This window comes from Homo sapiens, chromosome 1 (assembly GCF_000001405.40).
Source record: "Homo sapiens chromosome 1, GRCh38.p14 Primary Assembly".
NCBI lineage: Eukaryota > Metazoa > Chordata > Mammalia > Primates > Hominidae > Homo > Homo sapiens.
Genome location: NC_000001.11, coordinates 54,200,105 through 54,227,680, shown reverse-complemented (window position 1 = coordinate 54,227,680; position 27,576 = coordinate 54,200,105). Strand labels below are relative to the sequence as shown.

At 49.9% G+C, this 27,576-nt stretch overlaps 2 protein-coding genes across 19 annotated transcripts in view, besides 2 other annotated features; one reads left to right on the top strand and one right to left on the bottom strand.

The window, feature by feature from the left end:
* SSBP3 (single stranded DNA binding protein 3) overlaps positions 1 to 2,249 on the top strand; it is a 188,059-nt gene extending 185,810 nt beyond the window's left edge. For all 17 annotated transcript variants that reach the window (NM_001394365.1, NM_001394366.1, NM_001394364.1 and 14 more), the window contains one exon: positions 521 to 2,249. In NM_001394365.1, the coding sequence (NP_001381294.1) occupies positions 521 to 550 (30 nt within the window). In that variant the 3' untranslated portion in view covers positions 551 to 2,249. The remainder of the gene's footprint in view (positions 1 to 520) is intronic.
* MRPL37 (mitochondrial ribosomal protein L37) lies at positions 2,192 to 27,514 on the bottom strand. 2 transcript variants are annotated; one of them, NM_001330602.1, is made up of 7 exons: positions 27,092 to 27,514; positions 22,480 to 22,663; positions 22,271 to 22,386; positions 17,550 to 17,735; positions 15,023 to 15,180; positions 11,337 to 11,540; positions 2,192 to 2,556 (listed from the first exon to the last, which is right to left on the bottom strand). In NM_001330602.1, exons 1-7 carry the CDS (start codon positions 27,435 to 27,437, stop codon positions 2,299 to 2,301), a joined length of 1,452 nt encoding a protein of 483 aa, NP_001317531.1. In that variant the 5' UTR covers positions 27,438 to 27,514; the 3' UTR covers positions 2,192 to 2,298. The 2 variants fall into 2 exon arrangements, with proteins under 2 accessions (NP_001317531.1, NP_057575.2); NM_016491.4 differs by lacking the exon at positions 2,192 to 2,556 and adding an exon at positions 9,298 to 9,509.
* Positions 3,513 to 4,233: an enhancer, noted in NCBI's record as "H3K27ac-H3K4me1 hESC enhancer chr1:54689121-54689841 (GRCh37/hg19 assembly coordinates)". NCBI's record gives its function as "activates a minimal SCP1, AML or CMV promoter by ChIP-STARR-seq in naive H9 embryonic stem cells {active_cell/tissue: H9 hESC(naive)}" and the evidence as "EXISTENCE:reporter gene assay evidence [ECO:0000049][PMID:30033119]".
* Positions 27,249 to 27,498: an enhancer, noted in NCBI's record as "active region_1056". NCBI's record gives its function as "activates an Ori minimal core promoter by ATAC-STARR-seq in GM12878 lymphoblastoid cells {active_cell/tissue: GM12878}" and the evidence as "EXISTENCE:reporter gene assay evidence [ECO:0000049][PMID:35858748]".

The window sequence follows — 27,576 nt, the reverse complement described above, 5'->3', positions numbered from 1 at the left end:
GCTTGAGCCCAGGAGGTTGAGGCTGCTGTAAGCCTTGATCGCACCACTGCACTCCAGCCTGAGTGACAGAGTGAGACCTTGTCTCAAAAAGAAAAACAGAAAAGAATCCCAGACTGGCCCCACCCCAGGGCACCCTGGCTGTGCTCTGGCTCATCAAAGCCCAGTTCCCTGCAGTCTGGAGGCCTGCACTGGGCAAGGGGCAGGGGCTGTGACTGCCATTGGAGAGGAGAGGATGACTCAGACAGGGGCAGGAGCAGGGGAGGCGCCGTCAGCTGCCTTAGTTCCCAACAGAAGGGCAGGCTGGCACTGAGAAGTGGCTCTTAGCTCCCGCCTCCTGGCCCTTATCCTGCCCTACCGGCCCCCTGCCCACTCCATGCCACCATGTGCCCCTCAGCTCAACCACATCCCCAAATGAGCCCTGCTCAGTTCTGTGCAGTCACCCCAGGCTCTTGGCACCTGGGTGTGTCAGCGGCCTCCCCACAATCCTCACCCCCCCCCCTTCTCTGCTTCTCCTTTCCAGTATTCTCCAAGCATGACGATGAGTGTGTGATCCCCCCTTCTCCGAGACGCTGAGAGAGCAGGCATTGCAGGCGGGAAGATGCCAGAAATTATGCAAGAAGTGAGGTGTCATTATCCAGGAGCTGGTGGGGAGGGCATCTCCCTGCTCCCCTCAACCCCCTCCCACCCCATCCACGCCCCCTACCTTTCCCAATTTTAGTTTCATGCAATAAAAAGGCCAAACTTTTTATTCCATAAAACAAGAAGGACAAAACTCTCAAAAATGTATTTCAAGTCAGTGACCAGAAAAATCCCACCCCTTGCCCTTTCCCCAAAGGACCTTTTCTGTACATGACACTTTTTTGTTGTTTTTTGTTTGGGGTTTTACCATTGTTGGGATTTTTTTATTTGTTTTCAGGGGGGTTTTTTGGGGGAAAATTTTTTTAAATGGAAGCTTCTAGCAAGCCCCCCACCCCAATCAACCTCTATGCTTTCTTCTTAAAAAAAAAAAAAAAGGAAAAAGGAAAAAAAAAAAAGGAAAACCAGAAGCCCTGCTGTCTGTCTGTGCCCAAGCCCTTCCACCAGAAAAGCTAGTCTAGGTGTGAGAGCCCACATTGTCTGTAGCCATCAAAAATAATAATAATAAACTGGACAGTTTACAATCGTTGGTTTCTTTCAAAAGGCCTTTTTTGGAAAGAAGAAAAGGCAGTCACCGTTTTCCACTTGGGGTTTTGGTTTGTGCAACAGGCAGGGGAGGAGTGGGGACGCGTTTGTTCTAGCTTGATTTCCATGGCAACAGCAGCGGCACGCTTGGACCCCAGAACCCAGCACCCTCATCCTGTGGCCAGAGGGGCCGGACCACTGACCCCTTTCAGGATTCCACCACAGCCCAGACCGTCACCGTGACCCGGTGGCATGCACTGTTCCCAGGACACCCTCCTCCTCTCCTGGACCTCCCTTCCGTCCTGGCCTCCCTGCCTCTCCAGCCCCTCCTCTGCCCCCACCCCAGTCTTCCCAGTGAGAATCCTGCCAGCTGGGTGGTGGCCTGGCGCAGAGTGGGAGAGGCTGCCACTGACAGGATGGCTATGACCTGGGACATGGAAACAGTGACCTCCGCGTTCTGGTCCCGAGATCCTCGCATCAGCGTCATCGTGTGCACCGGCTTGGGGGGCTGGAGTTCCGGTTTTCTTTGTTTTTTCTCTTTATTCGTCCTTTCTCAAAGATGGGATACTGATCAGAATTGCTCTGTATATGCTTGGGACTGGATGGAAAGACTTTGGAGCAGCTGTGGGGGGTGGGGGGACACCGACAACCAAACAGACGTGCTGGCTCCAGTCCTGTTTTTACTTTCAAAAACCAACAAGCCCGACAGTGGAGCCTGTCCCCTCCCGGGAGGGTGCTCATGGCCCCACTCACCTCATCACCCCACGGAAACCTTTGTGTCTTGCCCTGGAAGACACCCGAATTCTTTGTACATTGACATGCCCTTCTCCTTCCTCCCTCCCCTGTAGCTGGTCTTTGTTTTACTCCCTCCCTTTCTGATCCATGTATATCATATTATGTGAGATATCATCTGCCTGAAAAAAGACTTTGTGCGGATTATTGGGAACATTGTAGCTGTTTCTGTGTTTTTTCTTACCTTGTAGTCTGGTTCTGAATTAAGAGAGGAAAAAAAAGTAATTATGATACATTGTAGTTTGTGTACGATATATGTTGATAACGTTTTATTAAAGGGACATCTTTTTTCCGCAGCCCTTCCTGACATGTTTGGGGAATGTGGGTTGGAGTTTATTACACTGATTACAAAATGCAAGGTGACTTCTTGGGCACAGTTTTTGTTCCTGGTGCATAACAAGATGTTTTGTGTTTGAGGCGTCTGCCTTCTTTTCCTGGGCCTGCAAATTCTGTGTTCTTGTGGAGTCGCGATGGCCTTGGCGGAAGGTGGGTTGGGAGGGAAGGTATCCATCTCACTTTAAATATTTGGGGGCCGTCTAAAAGCCATTTTCCATTTCTTGTCTTGCAAACACATTTTGGTCCGCTGGAATGTCTTTTATTTTTCTGGAAGTAGAAAAAGGTTCCTCCTGGTGCCCTCTGTTTTCTATGGGGAGTCGCTATCGGCCAGGAGGGCCACAGCCACTCCCTGCTTTCTCCCCTCGGGTGGGACTGGCTTCACCCCAGGCCCCCAGCCTCAAGTGCCTGCTGTTGGCGACTGTTGGCACAGGGAGGTTGATTTTTTTTTTTCCTAAACCTCCAAGGTGTACTGGGAGCCCTTGAAGGGTTTTGAGAGTAGTGCAGTCTACTTAAATTTTGGAAAGTGTATGCTGGTGGTCTCCTGGGAGATGAATCAGGTGGGGCTGGCAAGATATGGAGAGAGGCATTCCCAGACGACATTTAGGCAAGAAATGCTGAGGGCTAGGGTGAGGTAAGCTGCTATGGATGCTGACTTGCACGACTAGAAAGAACTTTGTACTTCCCTGGAGCTCTGGGGACCTCATTCTAGGCTTGTAGCAGGAGCGGATGCCGTGGTGGGTGGGTGGGAGACAGAGGGTCCAAGCAAAGGGCAGGCTCAGCCCATGTTTATAAAGCCCTTAGGGGACCAGATAGCAAATTCCCAGGTTTAAATCTTGTTTGCTGCAACTTGCTGTGTGGCCTTGGGCAAATTAGTTGATACTTCTGTTCTCAGTTCTCTCATCTGCAAAATGGGGGATGGCGGGTTGGCTGCCTCATAGGCTGTGAGGAGGTTAGCACCGTGAAGTGCTTAGAACAGTGCCGTGCACGGACTAAGAGCAGCATGTGTTCGCTACAAGTGATGTTACTCGTGGGGAGAGTCCAAATGGGTGTGTTGGGGAGTAGCTGGGAGGATCTAGGAGATTCCATCTGGTCCTTCCCTCTTCACCTTGGAACAAGGTTTCCTAGGCTTTTGCTGAGTACAGACACCTTTGAACTATTGGAAAAGCATCTCCATTGGAGAGATGAAGAGACTGAGGCTGCGACTAACCTGTATCAATGGTGCTGACCCAGGGCTGGGGAAAGGAGGTTGGGTGGATGGGATATCCATCCGATACCTGTGCTCCTTGGAGCAGGAGTCAGGCACAGACGAGAGCCATGGGATCAGGGTGCCTAGCTGGAGGAAGGCAGGTCACGGGGCCCAGCCTGGGAAGAGCGCCTGCTGTGTGCTGTGCTACCCCTCAGCCTGGGGCCCCTCGGCAGCCTGGCAGTTGCCTTCACAACACAAATGGCCCTGGTGCAGGTTAGTTTGGCCTTCCTCAGGGGCAGATCTCTGAGCAAAGAACTGGTTCTTGTTCACTAAGCATTTTCATCACTGCCTGGGGCCAGGCCAGAGCTCTACATGAGCCAGTGGAAAGATACTGAAATGAGGAGGAGAAAAGGGAGCATCATGCCAGTCCTTCCACAAAATAGGGCTTCGGCCCATCACTGAGAGGTGCCGGAGTCGGGGGCCAGACCACAGCTTTCCTGCTGGAGTCATCGCTGTCCACAGGCACTTGATTCTAGGGGTCGGCCGGCCTGGGGGGCCAGAGGTAGGACCAGGCCTGAGACAGGACCCCACACCTGCCTCCCTGCTGGGCATCCCCACTGCCCCCTGCCCCAGAGCCAGGAAAGAAACTTAAGGCAAGTCGCTGACACCAGCAGCAGCATAGCCACTAACGCGCTAGGCCAGAGCAGGGCTCTAGCGGGGGTAAGAAGGCTGCTCAGTCTGGCTCCCTGGTGACCTGAGGAATCCCCCGCCCCAGTCTCGGCTGTCCCATGAAGTGGTGGGCTGTGTTCCCAGATTCCACAGACTCCAGGAGATTGAGCCCAGAACATACCTGGGGTCCCTCAGAGGGCTCTGACCCTGAACTGAGGGGAGCTGGGCCTCTTGGGGTTCAGGCCATGGGGCTCCCCTGGACTTGAGCAGAGTGGCTGGGCAGGGTGGGGTTACAGGCGGATGAGCGTTGCTCTGCCCAGCCCTGGGCTCACTGGGTACAAGCACTGGGGGCTTGGAGTTGGGGCTGGGGGTTGGATGTAAAAGATCAGACCAACGAGGGTGGGTGCTGAAAGGCAGAGGTTGTGTTCTCTCTATTCCCAGGGTGCCTGCGGAGCCGCAGAACCTGGCATCTGGTTTCTGGAATTCAGCCATGCCCTTGGTTTCCTGCCTCCCATGTCAGCCCTCCAGTGCCACAAAGACCATCTCACTTTGAGCCTCCATAGACTTCCTTCTTTCCATCCATCCACTCGTGTTTGCTGAGCACCCCTTTTATGCCAGGGGTTGTTCTGGCACTAGGGGTACAGTAGTGAACAGACACGGAAGGACAGAGATGCCGTTTGTGGAGGTGAGGCAAGCTGCAGGAAGAGCTCTGTTCTGGCGAGTTAAATTTGAGATGCTGATTTGATATCCAGTAAAGACATCAAGTAGGCAGGTCTGAACTACAGACATACCATGGGAGTTGTTGCCATTTAGAGGGTCTTTAAAGCCACCAGACTGGCTGAAATCATCTAGGGAATGAATGGAGAAGAGGCCGAAGGACTGGGCCCTGAGATCTGGGGAATAGGAGGGACCCACAAAGGCGACAGAGCAGTGAGTAGAAGACCAGGAAAGTGAGATGCCCTGGTGACCACGAGAAGAAAAGGGGTGCAGAGAGGAGAGGGCTTCTTGCTAGTGGGGAACCCAGGTGGCCACGCCCACCGTGACTCTGGGACCAAGTCCACGCTCCTCACAGCTTCCAGATAGCTGCAGGGCATGGAAGGGCCATGGACACTCCTGCTTTTCCTTGCCCCTCAGCACTTCACCTCCAACTTTGCAGTACTCTGTGGATGTCTGCCCCCCCAGGGCCTTTGTTCCTGCTGGCCCCTCCTCCTTCCCACTTGCCCTTCAGAACCTAGCTCAGATGGCCCCTCCTCCTGGAAGCCTTCCAGGCTGGGGTAGCTCTCTCCCTGGGTCCCCACAGCCTGGTTCAGTGTATGCTTCCCCCATCAGGCTGGGAGCTCCTCTAAGCCAGGGACCATGTAAGAGCCCTCTTCGTCCTGAGAATTGCCAGCACAGGTCCTGGTGCCCAGTAGGTGCTCGATGAGTGCTCTTGGAATAACTGGATGTTGTTGAGTAGCCCCAGAATGTGCTCAGTGGCACCCCTCCCTATGGCAAGCTGTCACCTGTGGGTGGGTAGGCGCCCAGGTGTGGGGAAGGAGGTGGCCTTTGTGGGTACCTGCTACTGCCAATCCAAAGGAGACCACTCTGGCCGTGTCCACCCAGTACCCCAGGAGCTCCCAGAGGGCGGGGACCATGTCTCCCTCATTCTGTAACTCGCTCCCAGCACAACACCTGGTACACAGTAGGTGCTTATTAAATGGGCTGCCCCCAAAGGAGGTCTACGGTGAGGGACCTCAGGGCTCAATCTCCAGTCTGGACCTATTCTTGGGTTCCATCATTGGCCTAGCTGGGGAGGAGGAGATCCATGGGTCTCGTGTACACGTGTGTGTGTGTGCACATGTCTGAGTGTGTGGTGTGTGGGTGGGAGTGTGACTGCATGTGTGGGAGTGTGATGTGCCTGTATGCATGTGTGCGCGCATGTATGCCTGTGCACGTGTGTGAGAGTGAACATGGCAGGGGCCATGTTGCTCTGACAAGCTGGCCTCTAAGGGATGGAGGTCCTGCCCTGGGCAGCACGCCCCCCTGGATGCAGTTTTTGGATATGAGGAGATGTATTCTGAGGGGAGAGGGTCCCTGGATCGGGGGTCTTCCAGCAGTGAAGCAGGTAGGCCTTATGGGTCATGGACATCTGAGTGTCCATGTTAAAGAGAGAGTCAAGACAATCGGGTCACCTGCATGCTTTCTGAGACTTTCACCCACAGCAAAAGAGGAACCAGGGAGATGCTGTCTAAAGCCCGAGAGGATCCTGTCCTGCTCCTGTGGGTTGTCACAGAGCCTCTGCCAAACACTTGCCCCAGGTCCAGCCTGAGCCAGCTTTGGGAGAGAACAGAGAGCAGCCTAAAGTGAGGTCCCCTCCAGCAAGTCCACCTTTCCACCTGGCTTCTAAGAAGAACTCCAAACCCATCGACTTGAAACCTTGGCGAATGGAGCCTATTTGATCCAAAGGTGGGGAAACTTGGAAGGGAGGTGCTGTATCCCCATTTTGCCAGCGAGGAAGTGGAGGATCTGACAGGGCAGCTGGAATACAGGAGGGGAAAAGTGGCTTTCCCCCAGGCCAAATTAGAATTCCCTTGCCACTGAAGCTTGCTGGAAATGAACTGAAGAACTTTTGAATGGAACAACCAGGAATTTAAATATATGAGACAGTGAGAAATACGTTCACAATGGGAATGTCACCATTTCATTTCCAAAAGTCTGCTGCTGGAAGTTCCTCTCGTGGGGTTTCGCTATCCAGCATGACCCGGCGCAGCACTCTCCCTGCAGCGTGCTCCTGCTCCTTCACCAGCTCACTGGCTGGGGAGCCTGTACTGGGCGGGAGGCTGGCTGAGGCCCTCAAGTTCCGCTGCATCACTTCCTCTCCTGCGTTGAATGAGGGAGTGAGGACGAAGCTGGTAGACATTTGGGATTTGGAGAAGCAAGGACCTGTCTGTGGAGGGGGCAGCTGTCATGACACACGAGCTTCCCAGCTCTTCACACTGCATCATGTGGTCTCTAAGCCTGTTTCCTCATCTCCATGGGGACAATAAAAAAAACCGCCAGTCCTGCCTGCCCCACTTTGCAGATCAGCTGTACTTTGCAGCTCCCTTGACACAAAAGTGTAGTTGGGTTCCAGGCTCCACAACTTAGCACTAAGGCCAGCATCCGAGCTGCCCTCATTCAGGGTGGGTTGGGAGGACAGGCTGCCCAGGCCTGCCCGGCAACCCTGGCCCCCTTCCAGGCAGTCCTCAAGCTACAAGGTCATCTGCTGATGGTCCGCTTACTCAGAGCCTCCGTCCCACTCGCTCAGGGCTCAAGTTCACCTCACCCTCCCTCCTCTCCAAGCAGTCTCCAGGGGCTTCAGCCTGCTCAGGATCACGCCAAGCCATCACCACCACTTGCCCCAGGATCCCCGCAGTGGCCTCCAGCTGGACTCCCTACCGCCATCCCACCAGCTCCTCCTCTGTACTCCCAACAGAGTGTTGTTTAAAAAAAAAAACGTTTGACTCAGCAATTCCACTGCTAGGAACTTACCCAATGGCTCTGCTGGCAAAACTACTCTAAGATACATGAACGAGGGTGCTCACTGCAGCATTATTTCTAATAACAACTGGAAACAACCCGGACTGCCATCAACAGATACTAATGTGGCTGCTCAAAAGAACGAAGAGATCCTATGTGGTGATGTGGCAAGAGCCTACAATCCAGAGACATCAGGTGAAAAAGGAAGTGCAGAACAGGCTGTAAATAGGATGACTCTTCAGTCATGTATATATGTGTGTTGTTATGATACATACACATTTTCACCAACAGCATGGAAGAAACTTGAAGCTCTGTTAACCTTAGAGAAAAGGACTAGCTAGGGATCACCTTGGGTGGGTCGACTTATCTTTCCCTGAACTCTGAACTTTTATCATTTATGTATAATTGTTTCCTGTCTGTAAAATAAAAAGTAAAATGGGCAGCAGGGCTCAGAGTACCCGGAGCCCCAGGTCAGCTGCCCTAGGAGGTGAGGTGCTTGGTGTTCAGGCCCCTCCCAAGCTGGCCACTCCAGCCCCAGCCAAGCCTCCGGCCTCCCCACTTCCAGTCACTTCCTGTCCCCATGGTCCTCTGTGCCTTGCTGCTTTTCCTGCTAATCCCTCAAGCCTAAAAAGTAAGCTTTCAAGTGGAAAGAGCCCAAGCCTGGGAGGCAGAGACACAGGCTGGACGCCACTTTGCCACTGCCTAGCTGAGAGCTCCTCCAGCTGCTGGAAGTTCCCACACTAACTGCTCTCAGCAGTCCCTCAGCAGGAATTACAGACCAACAAAGCCACCTCGCCCAAGGTCCCACCCGCTGTCAGGAAGCAGCACATATCCAATGGCTGGTGCCAGGCCAGGGGTGTTTGTAGAAGGCTCAACTCCCTTGCCTCTGGCTCCAGAGTGCCCATGAACTGGGTGAGGCCTCAGAGGCAGCCACACTGAGCTTGGGCCCGCCACCCCCACCTGCTGCTGCCTTCGCTCTCCACAGGTTCCTGTCCTAAAGGTTCTCCCCAAATAAAAGTCTCTAAGTGTTTCCTCGGGAAGCTGACCTATAGCACCAGGTGGGTGACCGTGGGCAAATTCCTTAAATTATCCGTGTTTTCTTCTTAGGGCCCAGAACAGTGCATGGCACATGCTAGGCATGCAATATTTTTCTTGAATATGGAAATGACATTTACCTTGTAAGGGGTGTGTGCAGATTAAATATGCTATGTATCAGGTGCTTGGCATGGCAGCAGTGTCTGGCACAGATCAGGACTTGACATTATTTGGACAGAGACCAGCTGAACCAGGGGTGTACTTGCCCCATTAACCAGGATACGAGGGAGAAATCTACAATAAATATGCTAGCGAGATTTTCTGCAGTCATTGTGGAATGTGTCCACAATTTAAATAATGCCATAAGAACCTAGTGACCATCAGCGTATCTGCCATGTGGCAGACACTACACACACATAACCCAGAGTCTTCAACGCCAGGTAAGTCACATTAGCCCCAGGTTTCAGATGAAGAAATGGAAAGAGACAGATGAAGATCCTTATCTAAGATCACAACATGGGTCAAGGGCAGAGCTGGGCTTCAGCTGGGGCAGGTCAGGCTCCAGGGCTTGGACTTGTGTGGGCGCCCTTCCCGATGGCACCCTCATACCAAACACAGGCTTCAGTGCAACGCAAGGGCTCTTTATTGTCAGCGAGAGCAGCAGGCCAAACGGGCACTGAGGCTCCACGGGGCCCAGGCCCTCTTCCGTGGAAGAGAGGCAAGAGGGGTTTCAGGATTCAGAGGGGTCCTCCGCTCACGCAGCACCATGCAAATATAGAGCTAAAAACTTTCTGAATGTCTCTGGCTTGAAACCAACTGGGCCAACAGGTTCCTGGAAAGAACACGGTTCATTAGGATCCTGCTACTAGGTTTAACGGCAGCAATTAAAACAAAGATTGGATTGAAGTAAATCTTCAGTGCCTGGACAGTAACTTTCTTTTTCTGACATCGTCTCTCTCTCGGACTAAGAAGGGGCATTGAGGGGCTGTAGCCTGGGAGGACAGGAAGCATTCCCAGCCCCCTTCAGCCAAAACAACTGTTGACGCTGCTCTGCTCCCGAGGCCCTCTCACTTCCACCACCAGGAATGATGGTTGAAATGGGCTGCTGCCCTCTCTAATCCCAGGGACAATCATCCCTCACCCATTCCACACACATTTATTGGGCACCTGCTTGCTTTCTGCTGCGCCTATATCCTGTGCTGGAAACAGACACAGCAGTAACTTGACTCTGGTTCCTGTCCTCAAGGAGCTTACCGTCAGCTGTTCAAATAGTGAAAATGAAAGGAGACAGACCCCACTGCAGAAGTAGGAAAAAGAAGAAAGCAGGAAGAAATGACTGACTTGCCGACATTTATACATGGAAGGGTGAGCAGAATGGGGCAGAAAGAAAAAGAAAAGGAAGGAGACTTCAGAAAGCCCAGCACATGCAATAGAAGAAGTAGAAATGAAGGCAGGAAGGGCAAGATCGGGCTGGAGCCCAGGGCGAATGCTGAGGGGTGGAGCGGCAGGAGATGAGGCTGCAGAGGTGAGGAGAAGCTGTCTCCAAACCACAACAGGCCCAGCCCTGAGTCAGTATCCTGGAAGGGAGAGGCTGAGGGAAGAGAACCTGAAGACACAGAGTCAGGAGGGAAAACCTGACTAAGAGCAGAGAGCACGGAGGTGGCTGGTGTGACTATGCAGGTGAACTGAGGGTGTCTGGGGCCAAAGCAAAGGGCACAGACCCAGCAGGCATTTCAGGTGGAAACAGCACTGAGAGCTGCTGGAGAACCAGTTCAAGAACGGACCTGCTGAGAATGTTCAAAGGCTCAGCGACTCCATTTAGCAAGCCCACACTCAGGCCTGTGTGGGGCCTGGTTGGTCCCAGAGCAGGCAGTACCCCTACTCCGCTTTCGCAGTCCTGACCCTGCTGTAGGTCTCTCCAGGGTGCATATTACTGCCTGATGCTCTATCAGGAATTTATTTAGATACTGCTACTGCCCACTACACAGAGAGCAGGCCTGGACCCCGTCAGCTGAGCAGTGGGGTGCAGCACAATGGTGCCGCAGGAGGAACTCCGTATCTGTGGGATGAAACGAATGCATCCCCAGACCCTGCCCTCAAGGATCTAGGAGCTTGGAGTTCTGTTTGGTGGAGGAAAAAAAACATGTGAAGAGGTTCTACGCACAGCAATGTGATCGTGCTCTGATGGGGGAATACGGAGGCCAGGGCAGCCCACCTGAGGCACTTAAGTGAGGGTTGGGATGGGGACGGTGGTGGTCAGAAGTTTCCCAAAATAAGAAACACTTATGCTAAACCTGGAAGGACAAGTGGAGGATAGCCTGACAAACAGTAATGGGGAGGGGAGAAGGCAAGAAGCCTCCCAGACAAAAGGAGCAGCACCTACAAAGGCCAGAGCTAATGAAGCCGCAGAGCACCCTGGGAGCTGCGAGGAGCTGGATTGGCTGGAGGGTGCAAAGGGAAGCAGGAGCTGGAGTGGAGCACTGGGCAGGGCCTTAGGTAGGGGCGGGACTGAAGGAGTCCTCCAGGCAGAGATCCCGGGTGGGAAGTCCCCAGGGCCAGGGCTCTCCTCACAGAGCACCCCAGCAATCCCACCTGAGGCTCACACCAGGTAGGAGGAGGCATGGCCCTCCTGGGTCAGGCAGGAGATGGCTCAACTTACCACAACCACTCTCTTTTTGATCACTGGGAGACACCAAAAATGCTGATAGAGGAGCTGGTCTGAGTCCACCCAGGCCAAATTCTTGACACCCTCGTTACAGTCCAGGTCTGTGGTATTCAGTTGAAACACTAGGAAATGGAAGACACGTCCATCCGTGCCCACGCTCTGCACCACCACGGGCTGCTCCAAGACCTTGGCATCATTCTGAGAGGAAAAGGGGACAAGGAAAACAAATCAGAAGCTGTGGAGTGTAAGGAACAGCACGGCCCAGGCAGCTTCTAGTTCTTCCCTTTACAACGTCCACCTACGTCCACTGAATGGCTTCTCTTTGGGACAATTAAAATAGAATGAGGAGTTCAGGGCACTGTCCAGGGCCGGGCCTTCCTTCACCCAGGCTGGCTGTGCCTCATGGCCCCAGGGTGCCTGCTCTTCTATTTGAGCACATCAAAGTAATAGTTCCTGCCACTGAGAGGCGATTTCCAGGCAAGCCAGAGTTCAGGCAGGCCAGCTGGGGGGTTAATGACAGAAATCCCTCAAACTCCTGGCGTTACTTGATAAGGACCACAGTGACATCAGCTATCAAATGTGAATCCGGAGGGTCAACGGATAGATATAATCTCATTCAGTTCTCACCCCATTTGACAGATGAGGAAACTGAGACTCAGTGAGGTAAAGTGACTTGCCGGAAGTCACGAAGATGGGTGGTGTAGAACCCAAACAGGCTCATGCCAGACCACACCCTTCCCCCACGCCCCTGCCTTGCTTCTAAGGGCCTGGCAGTCACATTCACTGGGCTTCATGCTGACGCTGCAACTCAGCACGGGCCATGTTTCTGGAGTATCCACTCCAGCCATGCCAGCGCCAGGATTTCACCAGTCAACTCCTGCTACTGATCTCTTCTAGTTACTGCCACTTGGTAATAGTAGTAACACCTAAAATCATTTACTGAAGGCCTCTCAGGTGCCAGGCATCTTGCCAGTTTTACATCAGGTCACCTCTACTCTCATAAATCTAGAGGTATATTCCCACTAACAGATAAGGAAACTGAGGTTCAGAGAGGTGGTATAATTTGCTCCAGGTCACCCATGGGGATCAGACTCCATGCTATTAAGTCACTGAAAGCCCTGTTGTTCTGGTTTAATCCTGGTGTCCCAGTGTATCTAATAGCGGCACCTCATTATTCTCAATGGTGTCCCAGTTTGGGAGATAAATCATATGGTGACCTGCTGAGACTTTGCAGCAATCCAGTTTGGTGACTGCTACTCACTGAACAAAGATCCAACAGGCAGGCCCCATGAAGCAGGCCATCCTTGATTCAAAAATGCTGCCTGTGTTCACCCCACTGGGGCTGAATCTGGCATTAGGAATACCTAATGTCAGACCTCAGTGTGGGCCACACTGGGGCTGTTGGCCTTAGAAATACCTGTTCTTAGCTGCATGAAAAATAAATAAAAAGAAAAGTACCTGTAAGTGTTAGCCGAGAATTCTGTATTGACTCTTATCTCCCTCTACAGATCAATAAAACTGCAGGTAGTACATAAATTTCTCAGCAATTTTACCTTTTACATGGAGGCTCTTCCCATAATTGCTCAACTTCACATCCCCAGGAATAATTTGTGCCTGGAGGGGCTGAAGGAGGCCTCCACTCCTACCCAACTGGGTGGTAATTAGTTGTATCGTTGCTACCCAGACTCTGATGGCAATAGCTGGCACAGAGGCTACAGCGAGTCTGCAGGCCTGGGACCAGGGTTGTGACTATCTCTGCCTCCTTCTCCTGCCTGAGTTGGGAGTAGCACATCCTTCAAAACTGGAGAGATCATGTTCCAAGCTTTGCTTCCCCACTCATTAGCTGTGGGATCTTGGACAAGTTACCTAATCTTTCGGAGCCTTCAGGAAGTATATAGTCAGAGAATGGGAATAAAGACAATTGTCCTAGGATTGGAAAGACACAAGGTCACATAAAGATCTGACAGCTACTAATTTCTTAGCTGTGTATCCTTGGGCAAGTTCCTTAGCCTCCCTGAGCCTCAGTTTCACCATCTATAAAATGAAGCTAATAGCATCTGCCACATGGGGTTAAAAAACTACAAGGATTAAATAATGCCATGTTCTGAAATTTCAGTTCAGTGGTTGCCTTTTCTTTTTTCTTTTTTTTCCTTTGAGGCACAGTCTCACTCTGTCACCCAGGCTGGAGTGTAGTGGTGCAATCTTTCAGCTCACTGCAGCCTCCGCCTCCTGGGTTAAAGCAACATTCATGCCTCAGCCTCCCGAGTAGCTGGGATTACACGTGCATGCCACCACACCCAGCTAATCTTTGTATTTTTAGTAGAGATGGGGTTTCGCCATGTTGGCCAGGCTGGTCTCGAACTCCTGGCCTCAAGTAATCCTCCCACCTTGGCCTCCCAAAGTGCTGGGATTACAGGTATGCACCATCACACCCAGCTAATCTTTGTGTTTTTAGTAGAGATGGGGTTTTGCCATGTTGGCCAGGCTGGTCTCGAACTCCTGGCCTCAAGTGATCCTCCTACCTCGGCTTCCCAAAGTGCTGGGATTACAGGCGTGAGCCACCGCACCCGGCCAGTTCAGTGGTTTTTAAACTCGAGCTTGTAGCAGCATAACTGGGGGGCTTGTTAAAACGCTGATCGCTGGGCCCCAACCCCAGGGTTTCTGATTCAGCAGGTCTGGGGTAGGTCTGAGAGTATGCCTTTTCAACAAGTTCCCAGATGATGCTTCTGCTGCTAATCCAAGACTATATTTTACGAACGAACCACTGATTTTTTTTTTTAATAAAAACCCTAAATAAATGTGTGGTATGCAGCAGGTGCTCAATCTGGGCAAGGCCCATTCCACTCCCTATCCATTTGGCTAACCATGGCTCTCCAACTCCCCCTAGGCCAAATAAGATGGGAAACAGTACTTTTCCTCATTCCTCCTCTAGAAAAGACTCAGGCTCTAACCAAGACCTGGGGGTCCAGCAGTGGCTCTCATGAACTACCCCCCAACACACCCCAAACCAGGGATCTGGTGTCCCAGGCCTGCTTGAGGGCTCCCATATAGCCCTCCCCTCCCTGGAGGCCTTTGCTCCCAGAGCCAGGCTTTCCCCATCTTGGGACAGCTCTCTGTGACAAGTTAGTTTGTATTCTATACCATCTAGGTCCCTGAAACCTCCTCTTAGGATCAGGGGATAACACCAACGAGTATCTTGGGTCCCCAGCACCCATCCTGAGTTGGCAGGCAGGGCTTGGCCATCTCTATTGCTCCACTTCCTCCTGCCTGTGCTCCACTTCTGCCACTACAAGAACAGAGGCAGCATGCTGCAGCACAAACAACTGAAGACTTCAGAGTGGGGCAGACCTAGCTGCAGTCCTATCTCCACCACTTAGTGCTGTGTAATGCTGATAAGCTGCATGGCCTCCCTGTAATTCTATGGCATAGCTTAGAAAGTGGGGACTTCAGTAAAAACATGTGGGCTACTGTGATCAAGTGAGCTACTTAGGTGAAGCACAGGCAGTCACCCCCTAGTGATGTTGGCTCATCTCCACAGGGTGGGCTGAAGTACTCCTCCCTAAAACTCCTCAGTCAAGAAATCAGTTCCCCTATATCCCTTTTCTTCCTCTGAGCAGTAACCTTAAGGGAGGAGACCAACACCACGTAAAGCAACTCAGTGGTCTTCTCCACCTACATACCCCATAGAGGAGCCGGGCCTGAGCCAGGGCACTGCCAAAAGCAAACAGGATCATCTTGGCCCGCAGCTGATCTGGTTGAAGGCGGTGTGGTCGTAAATTGGCTTTGTCCAGTAAGTACAGGGTATGGGGATAGGGGTAAGGATAGCCTTCCTGGAATCCTGCAAGAGACACAATTATGTGGAGGGGTGGAAAGGATTCATCAGCCTGCCACAAAGCCTCAGGAAAGTCACCTCGCCTTAGCCCAGGGACAGGTGCTACAGAGAGACTCAACAAAGGTGGATACTATCACTATAGCTCGGGGGCTGGCAAACTTCAGCTTGCTGGCCAAATCTGGCCTGCTACCTATTTTTGTAAATAACATTTTCTCTGGAGCACAACCACATTCACTCATTTACGTATGACTATTGGGTAGCTGTGACAGAGACCATATGTGGCCTGTAACACCTAAAATATTTACTGTTTTGACTCTTCACAGAAAATGCCTGCCAACCTGTTATAGGTGCTGCCTGCAAGCTAGTTCTAACTCCACACCTTTCTCTCTCATTCTGGCACACAGATGACAGTGATGTTAGGAGAAGGAGAACTTGAAATCTGTGGTAATTATTCAAAAGAAAGCAAGTCATTTGCAAAATTTACTACTTTAATATTAGTGACAAATGACTTGCCTCATCATTCACAACTGACCCACACAACACTGGTGCTGAGAATCAAAGTTTAGTACTTGTTCTTTTCAGCCATGACCTTGTCAAGTCATGATTCTCTTCTCCCGCATGGCTACGAGTAACTCTTGGTAGGCTGGGAACTTCTAGAATAAGTGATCTGGATCACTGAATATAGGTGAAAAGAAGAAAGAAAGACGTCGGGAAGGCTGGGCATGGTGGCTCATGCCGGTAATCCCAGCACTTTGGGAGGCTGAGGCAAGCAGATCGCCTGGGCCCAGGAGTTTTAGACCAGCCTAGAAAACATAATAAGACCCTATCTCTAAAAAGAATACAAAAATTAGCCAGGTGTGGTAGCACATGCCTGTGGTCCCGGCTACTCAGGAGGCTGAGGTAGGAGGATTGCTTGAGCCTGGGAGGTCAAGGCTGCAGTGAGCAACAATTGTGCTACTTCACTCCAGCCTGAGTGACAGACTGAGAGACCCTGTCTCAGGGAAAGAAAAAAAAAAGAGGCTAGGAAAATAATGTAGGCTCTGAAAAGCCTAGAGGAGGCATGGCTCTCCTGCATGTTTGGTCCTTCAGCCTGCTCAGGTATTCGGCACAGGTAAATATCTAGAACTCACTCTGTGCCAAGCTGTAAGACAGGTACCAGGAATGGAGGCCAAGCAGAGCCTGCCACTGCCTTTGAGGAGCTCACAGTTTAGAGGGGAGACAGACAGGAAAACTGACCATATCTGTATGGAGGGACATGTCAAGATGTGAGGTAAGTCAGGGGCTGTGGGAGGACAGCCGGAAGGACCCTGATGAGACTGGAAGATCCCAAAGCATTTCTGAGAGAAAGTCATTCCTAAGATGAACTGTGAAAGATGACAAGTTAGCAAGCTGAAGACCAAAAGGGAAGAATGGCCAAGAGCTTCAGCAGAAGGAGAGGAAGTGACAAGGCATGGAGGTGAGAGAGGGCATGATGAATTTAGCACAGTCACAAGAAACAGGGCAGGCAGGGGAGGAGGCAAAGATGAGGCTGGGGATGGGGCAGAGACCAGATGTGAAGGCCCTTTCACGATAAGCAAAGGAGTTCCAACTTTACCAACAGGCCACGGGGAGGTGGGCATGAAGACAGATGGGATGAAAGTGGTGTTGGGGAAAGGCTACTCTGGAATTATGAACTAGATGGACCAGAGAGAAAATAGTGTGGGGTCAGACAGACCAGCTGGGAGGCTGTGGCAATAGGCTAGGTAAGGACAGTAAAGACTGACCTAGGTTGTGGCTATGACAATGAAGGGGTTTATGAGGAAGATGCTACAGCTCATGAGGACACAGTGGATGGCAGGAAGTGGGGGCCAGCCTAGTCTCACTCCCTTGTGATGTCTTGCCTGACGGAGTACATGGTGGTCCCTTGCTTGATGGAGTTTGGATTAATGGCCCCATTCAATGTCTATGGGGCTTCCTCAGTTCCTAAAGGGGGTTGGCCAGAGTTTACAAGGTAAACAGAAAATGGGTGCCTTTCATGGGACCTATGAATAAAGAAAAAGCCTTGGTGAAAAGCCCCTCAAACGCCCAATGATACAGTTTGCTGAAGAAAAAAAAAAGTCCCTCAAGCCACTCTGATGTAATAGAGTTACTTCTCCAAGGTAAAAAGTAAAGTTAGTCTTTGAGCAAATCACTTAACTTCCCTGAGCTGCAGTTTCTTTGCCTATGAAATGGAGATAATAGTACTTGTCTCATGGGGCTGCCACATGGATCCTAGGAGATAGGTAATACACACGAGGTGCCTAGCACCTAGCAAGTTCTTAGTATATCCTTTCCCTCCAGAAAAAGCATGTCCTTCTCCTCCACACTGCCTAAAAGTCCAAGACATTGATCCTTACCTGTGTCATTTTTCACATCATAAATATTGCATTCATGAAGATCGATGATGGGTGATATGGGGTAGAAGGTCTCTAGAACATGATTCTTAGTAGCTTCAATCTCCTCTCTGGAGGCGATGGTGGGCAGAGGATCCTTAGTGCTCAGTCGGGCTCCACCAGAACCACGGACTTGAAGGAGAAGAGACTCTAAAAGGGAGAAAAATGGTTACTCTAACCTGGTACTAAAGGCTTTCGCAGCTAGGCGCAGTAGCTCATGCCTATAATCCCAGCACTTTGGGAGGCCAAGGCAGGTGGATCATTGGAAGCCAGGAGTTCTAGGTCAGCCTGGGCAACATGACAAAGCCCCATCTCTACTAAAAAATACAAAAAATTGGCCAGGCATGGTAGGCTCACGCCTGTAATCCCAGCACTTTGGGAGGCTGAGGCGGGTGGATCACGAGGTCAGGATATCAAGACCATCCTGGCTAACGCGGTGAAACCCAGTCTCTACTAAAAACACAAAAAATTAGCCGGGCATGGTGGCTGGCACCTGTAGTCCCAGCTACTCGGGAGGCTGAGGCGGGAGAATGGCATGAACCTGGGAGGCGGAGCTTGCAGTGAGCTGAGATGACGGCACTGCACTCCAGCCTGGGTGACAGAGTGAAACTGTCTCAAAAAACTTAAAAAAAAAAAAAAAAAAAATTAAAGACTTTCTCAATCCTGCAAAGTCTAAAGCCTTCATCCTCCCATGTGCCTCAAGTCATTTATAGCATTTCTTGATCAGCCTAATCACAGAACACAAAACTTTGAGTTAGGATGTTAATCCTGGGATCCCTAAGAGGGGATGAACCAATGCACTCTTCTTCCTGTGTTCCCTTCCTAGTAAACCCTGAGGGCTGATGGTCTCTGGGGAGCGAAGCCTGCCCCATCCAGATCTTCCTGAGCACCTGCTGTAACCTGGGGAACCAGAGATGTGTGAGAGTTACTCTCTCCTCTCAAGGAGCCCACCAGGTAGTGAGTGCTACAGTGAAAAGGATGAAACATATTCAAAAATTGTACAGGTGGGGAAAACTGAACTTCTCTGGGAATGGGAAGTTCCCTGAAAGAAGCAATGCCTTAAAATGACATCTGGAAGGATGGATAAGAGCAGAGATTCTCAACTGCAGCACTATTCACATTTGGATCAGATAACTCTTTGGCGGAGTGGGGGGAGGGAATGTCCTGTGTACTGTGGGATGTTTAGCAGCATCCTGGCTTCTACTTACTAGATGCCATTTTAACTCCCTCCCCATCCCAACTCCCCACACCCCATCCACATCATGTCAAAGATGTCTCCACACACTGCCAAATGTTCTCCAGAGGGAAAAACTGTCCCTAGTTGAAAACCACTGGGTAAGAGCTTGCCAGGCAAAGAAAGGGGGAAAAGCACTCTAGTTAAGGAGGAATAATGTGCAAAAGTCAGGTGCAGGCAACTCCGTGGCAGAATTTAAGGAGAGAAATCCAGGTGACTAGAGTAGGATACAGCAGGGAAGAAGTGATGGAGAGAGAGAGGAGCACTGAGACTAGAGTTAGAGAGGAGATTCTTTTTTTTTTTTTTTTTTTTTGAGACGGAGTCTTGCTCTGTCGCCCAGGCTGGAGTGCAGTGGCGCAATCTCAGCTCACTGCAAGCTCCGCCTTCCGGGTTCACGCCATTCTCCCGCCTCAGCCTCCCGAGTAGCTGGGACTATGGGTGCCCATCACCATGCCCGGCTAATTTTTTTGTTTTTGTATTTTTAGTAGAGACCGGGTTTCACCGTGATAGCCAGGATGGTCTTGATCTCCTGACCTCATGATCCACCCACCTTGGCCTCCCAAAGTGCTGGGATTACAGGAATGAGCCACCGCACCCAGCCAAGGCAGAGGAGATTCTTAAACTTAGGAAAGGGGCCAGATTGTCCTTAACAACTGAGAGTGAGAAAACCCTAGCCAGTCAAACAGCCTCACTGAAGTCGGATTAGCATATATGCTACATGCAGACGTAGGTGACAAGAGGAAAACAAACTCACATCTGACTCATCAGCAAGCCAGCCATTGTGAACATGCATAGATGCCCTTCACAGAGGTCCCCACAGGAGGTCACATGCTACCACCAGACAAAATGTGCCTGGAAAAACACCTTGAGAATGGCCTCCTGAGGAGTATCCACGGAGGCAAATCTTTCTCAGAAGGTGCTTGGGTTTTCAGAAATAGCCACAGTGTGATGGTAATGGATCAAGGCCGGTTTTCTTGTATGTCTAAGAATTGGTTTGGTCAACAGCACTGTCATTAATTAGCATGTGGCCTCCCTTACTGGATAGGTAAGAAAGGGATACTACATCTGGGGGTGGATAAACTCTGATCTGTCACACCTCAAGAATAGTTTTCTAAAGTATTTCCTGTTTCCTCACATATAATCTGCAAGAAAAATAAATGTGCATGGACCTCTCTTAACCTTGGGTTTTCCATTCTCCCCACAGACCACTCTTGTGTGGTTTCTGATTCAATTCCCTCCATATCCCTCCTCCAGTGACAGCTCCAAATGGGGTAGTTTAATTAGAGGTAATACTTGATGATGGGCCAAGTACTCCTCTATTAATGAGGTTCACTAATTTCCTTAGTGGTGTCATTACCTCTGCAAAGCTGACTCATTGCCAGGAAGTCTATACACAAATCCTGACCAAGCAGATGTCCTGAAATCCCAGATCATTCCGTAGCTGGTTTTCCTGCTCCAGGATTCCACCAGTTAGAACACCTGTGTTCTCTGAACATCCCTGCCTGAAACACCAACAGTAGGTATATGCATTTACACATCCCTTCAGTCAGCACCTACTGTGTACCATGAACTGTTAGACACTGTGGACAATGTGAGTAAGATATGGTCCCAGCCATTAGGAGTTCAGTTGAGTGGGGTAGACAGAACCGACAGTAGATACTGACAATACAGTGTAATCTGTGCTATGATGGCAGAATGGGCATAAAGAACACAGAGGAGGAAAAGATACCCCAGCCTGGATTCACAGAGAAGGGGGGCTTGAGTGAAGTCTTGCAGATAAGGAGAATTTGGTTAAATGAAGAAAGCAGCGGGCCAAGCACGGTGGCTCACGCCTGTATTCCCGCAGTTTGGAAGGCCAAGGCGGGTGGATTGCCTGAGGTCAGGAGTTCAAGACCAGCCCGGCCAAAATAGTGAAACCCCGTCTCTACTAAAAATACACACACACACACACACACAAAAATTAGCTGGGCATGGTGGCGGGTACCTGTAATCCCAGCTACTTGAGAGGCTGAGACAGGAGAATCACTTGAACCCAGGATGCGGAGGTTGCAGTGAGCTGACGCCACTGCACTCCAGCCCAGGCAACAAGAGCAAAACTCCATCTGGAAAAAAAAAAAAAAGAAAAGAAAAGAAAGCAGAAAAGAGTATTCTAGGCCGGGAACAGTGGCTCATGTCTGTAATCCCAGCACTTTAGGAGGTCAAGATGGGCAGATCACTTGAGGCCAGGAGTTCGAGACCAGCCTGGCCAACATGGTGAAACCCCATCTCCAATAAAAATACAAAAATTAGCTGGGTGTGGTGGCATATGCCCATAACCCCAGTTACTCAGGAGGCTGAGGCACAAGAATTGCTTGAACCCGGGAGGCAGAGGTTGCAGTGAGCTGAGATTGCACCACTGTACTCCAGCCTGGGCGACACAGCAAGACTCTGTCTCAAAAAATAAACAAACAGGCCGGGCGTTGTGGCTCACACCTGTAATCCCAGCACTTTGGGAGGCCGAGGCAGGCGGATCAGGAGGTCAGGAGATCGAGACCATCCTGGCTAACATGGTGAAACCTTGTCTCTACTAAAAATACAAAAAATTAGCTGGGCGTGGTGGCGGGCGCCTGTAGTCCCAGCTACTCGGGAGGCTGAGGCAGAAGAATGGCGTGAACCCGGGAGGTGGAGCTTGCAGTAAGCTGAGATTGCCCCACTGCACTCCAGCCTGGGTGACAGAGCGAGACTCCGTCTCAAAAAAATAAATAAATAAAATAAATAAATAAATAAATAAACAAAAATAAAAATCAAACAAAAAAGAGTATTCCAGACAGAATGCACAGCATGTGCAAAGGCACATGGTGTGAAAGCTTGATGCTAAAAAGCTGAAAGTGGCTAATTTAGGGATGGGGTGGGGGGCAGTAAAGCAGGAGATAAGACTAGAAAGACTAAGTGGCGACCAAATCATGAGGGCTGGTAACCCACAATAAATGGTTTACACTACTAGGAGACAGTGAAGGATCTGAAACAGGGCAGGGACATAAAGACTTGCACTTTAGAAAGATCACTCTAGCAGGCCATGATGAAAATGGATTTGGAAGACGAGAGAGGTGTAAGTGAGGTAAGAAGACTATTGCAATAGAATATGAGCATTGTGAGGGCGGAGGCTACATGTGCTTTATTATAAATTTCCTTACCTTCAACATTTAGGCACTTCCCAAGCACATCCTAAGCACTCAATAGATATGGCTGACTGTTAATGGTTGAATTAACGTCTTAGAAAGTGATTAAAAACAAAAATGGTTGGGCTATGGCTAATGATACTGAGGGTGTGTCTGAGCCTACAAAACGAGACCACGAATGATGGGAGTAAGGATCGGTATTTGGGGGCAGGGGGATGGGAGCTGGTGGTGGGGTTAAGAGTAGAAAGGCAAAAAAAACAGACCAAGGCTTTCTGGTGTACAAGATGACCAACCTCGGTTCCAGGTAGCAGAAAACGTGGAGTTTTGGACACAGATCCTCCTGGCCAGAGAAGGATGCTTGAGAATCTGAGATTTACACAGCTGTATTAGGTTGTCCACGATGACCGGGCTTGAAGACAAAAAGAGACATTTGGGGACTTAAAGCAACAGGTCGACTCGAAGATCCATTAGTAGGAAATCTTCTTTACTTGGGGGAACTTACCAGTAGGTCTCTCTCTTGGGGATTTCCTCAGTGGTCTGCCAGAGACGGGCGTGAGAGATCACATTCAGAACGCACTCGTCTTGGTTCTCTATGTGGTTCCTTGGATCATCAACAAGGCTAAGCACTTTCTCGGGAAGGCCTTCTATTAACTTGGTCTTGGTGAGCCAGAGGGCCTGCTTTACACCTTTGAGGTAATTAGCCACAAAAATAAAGAAGGAAAGAAAAAGATTCAGGAAGAGATGCTTACACCTGCCAGGTAGCATCTTAGTAAAAAGGCTGCCTCAAGTGAGAAACTGGATTTGTTCTGTGACACCTGAGGGGATAGAACCAAAAGTGAAGACCAGAAGCTAAGAAAGTCAGATTTCAACTCACCTTCAGGAATGACCACCTACTTCAGGATGGTTAATAGGTGACTGAGGTGGTGAGCGCCTGCCACTAGAGGAATTCACACAGTGGCTAAGACCTCTGAGATAATATGGCTGAATGCTGCAAGCAGGGGATAGACCCTAGGCTATGGTACTAAATTGATGGATGCCAACCTTTCATTTAAGATCCTTTCTAATAACCCACACCCCAGCCCTAACTACCAAATATAGTCTATGTCTACCAAATATACCTCATTATTATTAGGTGTGGGTCTAGGCATAAGCCCATGCTGCCTTCTCAAGGGAAAGGAACCTTTGGAAATAACTGGGAATAACTTTCGGATTTTCATGAATATTTTAAGGAGCTGAACCTCTCTGGCCTTAGTATAGAAAGGTTGGGCTTTTCCTGGATACAGAACTGTTTTGTCTTTTTTTTTTTTTGAGACAAAGTCTCGCTCTGTCGCCCAGGCTGACTGGGCGACATGATGACTGAGCAGCATGATCTCGGCTCACCACAACCTCCGCTTCCCAGGTTCAAGCGATTCTCCTGCCTCAGCTTCTCAAGTAGCTGGATTACAAGCATAAACCACAGCACCCAACTAATTTTTGTATTTTTAGTAGAGACAGGGTTTCACCATGTTGTCCACGCTGGTCTCGAACTCCTGACCTGAAGTAATCTGCCTGCCTAGGCCTCCCAAAGTGCTGGGATTATAGGCATTAGCCACTGTGCCTGGCTTGTTTTGTCTTATAGACATGGTAAATTGTGTAACTGAAAATATTTTTCTGTATACCAGAGGTCAACAAACATTTTCTCAAAGGGCCAAATAGTAAATATTTTCAGCTTCTGGGTCACAGTCTCTCTCACAACTACTCAACTCTGCTAGAGCACAAAAGCAGCAATAGGCAATAATTAACAAGTGTGCATGGTTTTGTTCCAATAAAACTTCATTTATAAAAACAAGCAGCTGACCTAGTTAGCTGACCCTAGCTATGTACCATTTGTTGATTGCTAGCAAGCTCAGGGCCAGGTTTGGGGCTTCCCTTTAGAATGCAGAACCTTAGGCCGGGCATGGTGGCTCATGCCTGTAATCCCAGCACTTTGGGAGGCTGAGGTGGGCAGATCACTTGAGGTCAGGAGTTTGAGACCAGCCTGGCCAACATGGTAAAACCCCGTCTCTACTAAAAATACAAAAAAATTAGCTGGGTGTGGTGGTGCTTGCCCGAAGTCCCAGCTACCTGGGAGGCTGAGGCAGGAGAATCACTTGAACCTGGGAGGCAGAGGCTACAGTAAGCCAAGATCACGCCACTGCACTCCAGCTAGGGCAACAGAGCAAGACTCCACCTCAAAAAAAAAAAAAAAAAAAAAAAAGTAAATGAAGTAGAACCTCACATCATGAATTTTTGTTGTATTATCTGTTTTATTTTTCCTTTGTACTGATCCCCTCGCCTGTTTTTTAATTTAATCTGGTTGTGTTATAAATAAGCTGCCCAAAATACTTTGCAAGAAAAGATGGCGTATACGTAGCCAGGCCCAGTGGCTCATGCCTATAATCCCAGTAACTCAGGAGGTGGGAGGATGACTTGAGCCCAGGAGGTCAAGGCTGCAGTGAGCTGTGATCACACCATTGCACTGCAGCCTGGGTGACAGAGACCCTGTCTCTAAAATAAATAAATAAATAAAAGATGGTGTATATGCAAACTAAAATAGATTCAGTTTAGCCTGATAGTCTTTAAACATTAAAGAAACTTAGCTACTCTCAGTGGGATGGGCTGTGGTGCCAGGCAAAGACCTCCCTAGCTTCACTTTCCCCAAATTTGGCTTCTCTAAGGGAGGAACATGCATAGACCTAGGTATCTAAGTTCTGGATCAAGTAAACACACCAGTCCTCTATTTTCAAATGAAAAGTCAATACTATATTCTTCTCAATGATCATGCCCAAAAATTAACAGAAGGCTGCTGGCTGCCTTGGTTGGCAGACCACCCATCTCAGCTGGAAGAACACTTCTCTGACTCAAGGTCATATCTTCATTTGAAAATTGTGTCTGGGCCAGACACAGTGGCTCATACCTATAACCTCAGCACTCTGGGAGGCTGAAGTAGGTAGATTGCTTTGAGACCAGCCTGGCCAATGTGGTGTAACCCCATCTCTACAAAAGAAATACAAAAAATTAGCCAGGCATGACAGCATGTGCCTGTAATCCCAGCTACTTAGGAGGCTTAGGTGGAAGGATAGATTAGGCCTGGGAGGTAGAGGTTGCAGTGAGATTGTGCCACTGCACTCCAGCCTGAGTGTCAGAGCAAGATTCTGTCGAAAGAAAAAAAAAGAGAGAGAGAGAGACAGAGAGAAAGGAAGGAAGGAAAGAGACCATGTCTCGGATGGAAGGGAGCTTAAGATACTTTGGGGGAGACACCCTCAGGCAATTTCTCTTGTGGTAACAAATGAAAGGCACTAAGTACAATAAGACTTTTCACTTTAAGATCCATAAGACATCACACCAGGAATATGAATATAAATGTTTAGAAATGTAACTTTTGGGCAGGGGCAGTGGCTCACACCTATAATCCCAGCACTTTGGGAGGCCGAGGCAGGAGGATCACTTGAGTCCCAGATTTTGAGACCAGCCTGCGCAACATGGTGAGACCTCCTCTTCACAAATAATTAAAAAACTAGCCGGGAGTGGTGGCATGCGCCTGTGGTCCCAGCTACTCAGGAAGCTGAGGTGGGAGATCACTTGAACTTTGGTGGTCAAGGCTGCAGTGAGGCACGATCATGCCACTGTACTCTGGCCTGGGCAACACAGCAAGATGCTGTCTCAAAAAAAAAAAAAAAAGTAACTTCTGGATTTTGTGGTGCAGCAGAAAGAGCCCTGGACTGGGAGTCAGATAAACTAAGTTTTAGCTCTGACACCGCCACTGTTCCTTAAACTTGACAATAGATAAAATATTAAGACTTTATGTTCTATTTGCATATGAAAAATAGGTGATAATTAGAGCTGCCATTTACTGAAAGTCACCATCTACCCTGTGCCAGGAGCTTTACCTGCAAGTTAGATGGGATTTCATAAAATGAAAAATGAAACTCAGAGACTAAGGAATTTGCTCCAACTCACATACTTTGTAAGTGACAAGGCTAGGAGGAGAATCTGAGTATGTCTACCCTAAAGAACATCACCTCTCTCCATTACCCCAAATGGCTTCTCTAGCCCTGTATCCTGCAGAGTTTTATTACAGCCTACAGAACCTCTCTGTGAGCAGCAAAAACATAGGATACACAATACATTTTCAGCCTAGGCAAACGAATGTAATCTTAACGTCTAAAATACTGCTAATGCATTCATCCACTTGGTATTGTTACCAGGGTCACTCAAGGATGCCAAGTCTTGTGAGATCCTTCCCACTACCTTGTAAGGACACTGGAAGTGTTTAAAGGCTTGAAAATCAGCTTTCAGGAATGGAATTGAGAAGCTTAAGAGGCTGGCCAATTGACTTAAGTTTTCTCAAACCTAGGATTTATTCTCTGGCTTAGTCCCCCAATCTTGCCAGATTTGCCTTTTTTTTCCCCCCTAATCACTCCTTGGAAAATACTGTTTCCACTTACCTCAACCATTCTGTTTTCAAGACCTGCCCCATCCCTATCCTGATTTGAGGAAGATGGAAGAATGGAGAAAGGGATAAACAAGCTTCTCCATGGACTCTGGAAAATAATTTCTGGTACTGTTCTAGATAGACAGGCTGGTTTTGGCAAAGTCATTTTGATCTGTCCCTAGTGAGAGTGACAGAGGAGTAGTCATGGGCTTAAGAGGTGACAGGCCTGGAGATTAAACATCCTGCTGTCTCCACTATAAACTCTCTCCAACTACTTTTAAAATATACAGTTAATCTCCAGAATGTCAGACCTGGAAAGGTCAATGTGGACTGTCCAGTCAAAACCATTCACTTCCCAGGAAATAGAGGCCCAGGATGGCCAGCCATTTGCCCAAAGTCAAAGAGAGAGAGCCAGGGCTAGGCCTAGAAAGCAGCTCTTTTCATGCTGACACGCAAACTCTCTATTACTCCTGCACAGAGGCCCAGCTCCTTACAACTCAATTCTAACAACCCTCAGAAGACGGGAATCACTACGGCCCCATTTCGCAGACGAAGAAACCAAGACCCACAGAGTTTCAATGTCTTGCCCAAAGCCACAGAGGGTCGGGGTCGGTGCTGGTTAGAGGAACACGGTCCCTTGCCGCCCGTCCTGGGGCCTCACCCTCGAGAAGGCGGCAACGGTGGTGAAAGATATAGCAGGCCTGGTCTTTGTACAGCGGATGCTCGTGAAGAGGGGGCGAGCGGTAGAACCTTGGGTCCTTGTAGCCGCGGTCCCAGGGCGGAAAGATCGGCCGCGCCAGCCAGGGCACGAAGTGCATCTTCCCCGCAAAGGTGATGGGCTCCAGTCCAGGGATCTCGTACACCCTATCCAGGGGAGGAGGCTCCGACTTCCGCGTGGAGCGCACGCCCCACTCATACGCCCCGCGTCTCGGGGCCCCGAAGCCCCCAAGGCCGAGCTGCCCGGAGCCAGCTAGCGCCCGCCTTGCGGGCCCGGACGCCAATGCCATACCGATCTGATAGCCTCAAGACCTCCACCTGGACCCCGCCATGTTGCCGCGCGCAGGGCCTGCTGGGAACGAATGAGACCGGGCGCCAAAGCTCGTTTTGGGAATGGCAGCCAATTCAACCAATCACAGTCAGGATATT

Excerpts from the sequence above, each read along its gene's own strand:
- MRPL37 (NM_001330602.1), bottom strand. The coding sequence starts at position 27,437 with ATGGCATTGGCGTCCGGGCCCGCAAGGCGGGCGCTAGCTGGCTCCGGG. Across the intron at positions 22,664-27,091 it reads CCGTTGCCGCCTTCTCGAGG|GTGTAAAGCAGGCCCTCTGG; the intron begins GTGAGGCCCCAG and ends ATTACCTCAAAG. Across the intron at positions 22,387-22,479 it reads CCCAAGAGAGAGACCTACTG|CCCGGTCATCGTGGACAACC; the intron begins GTAAGTTCCCCC and ends TTTGTCTTCAAG.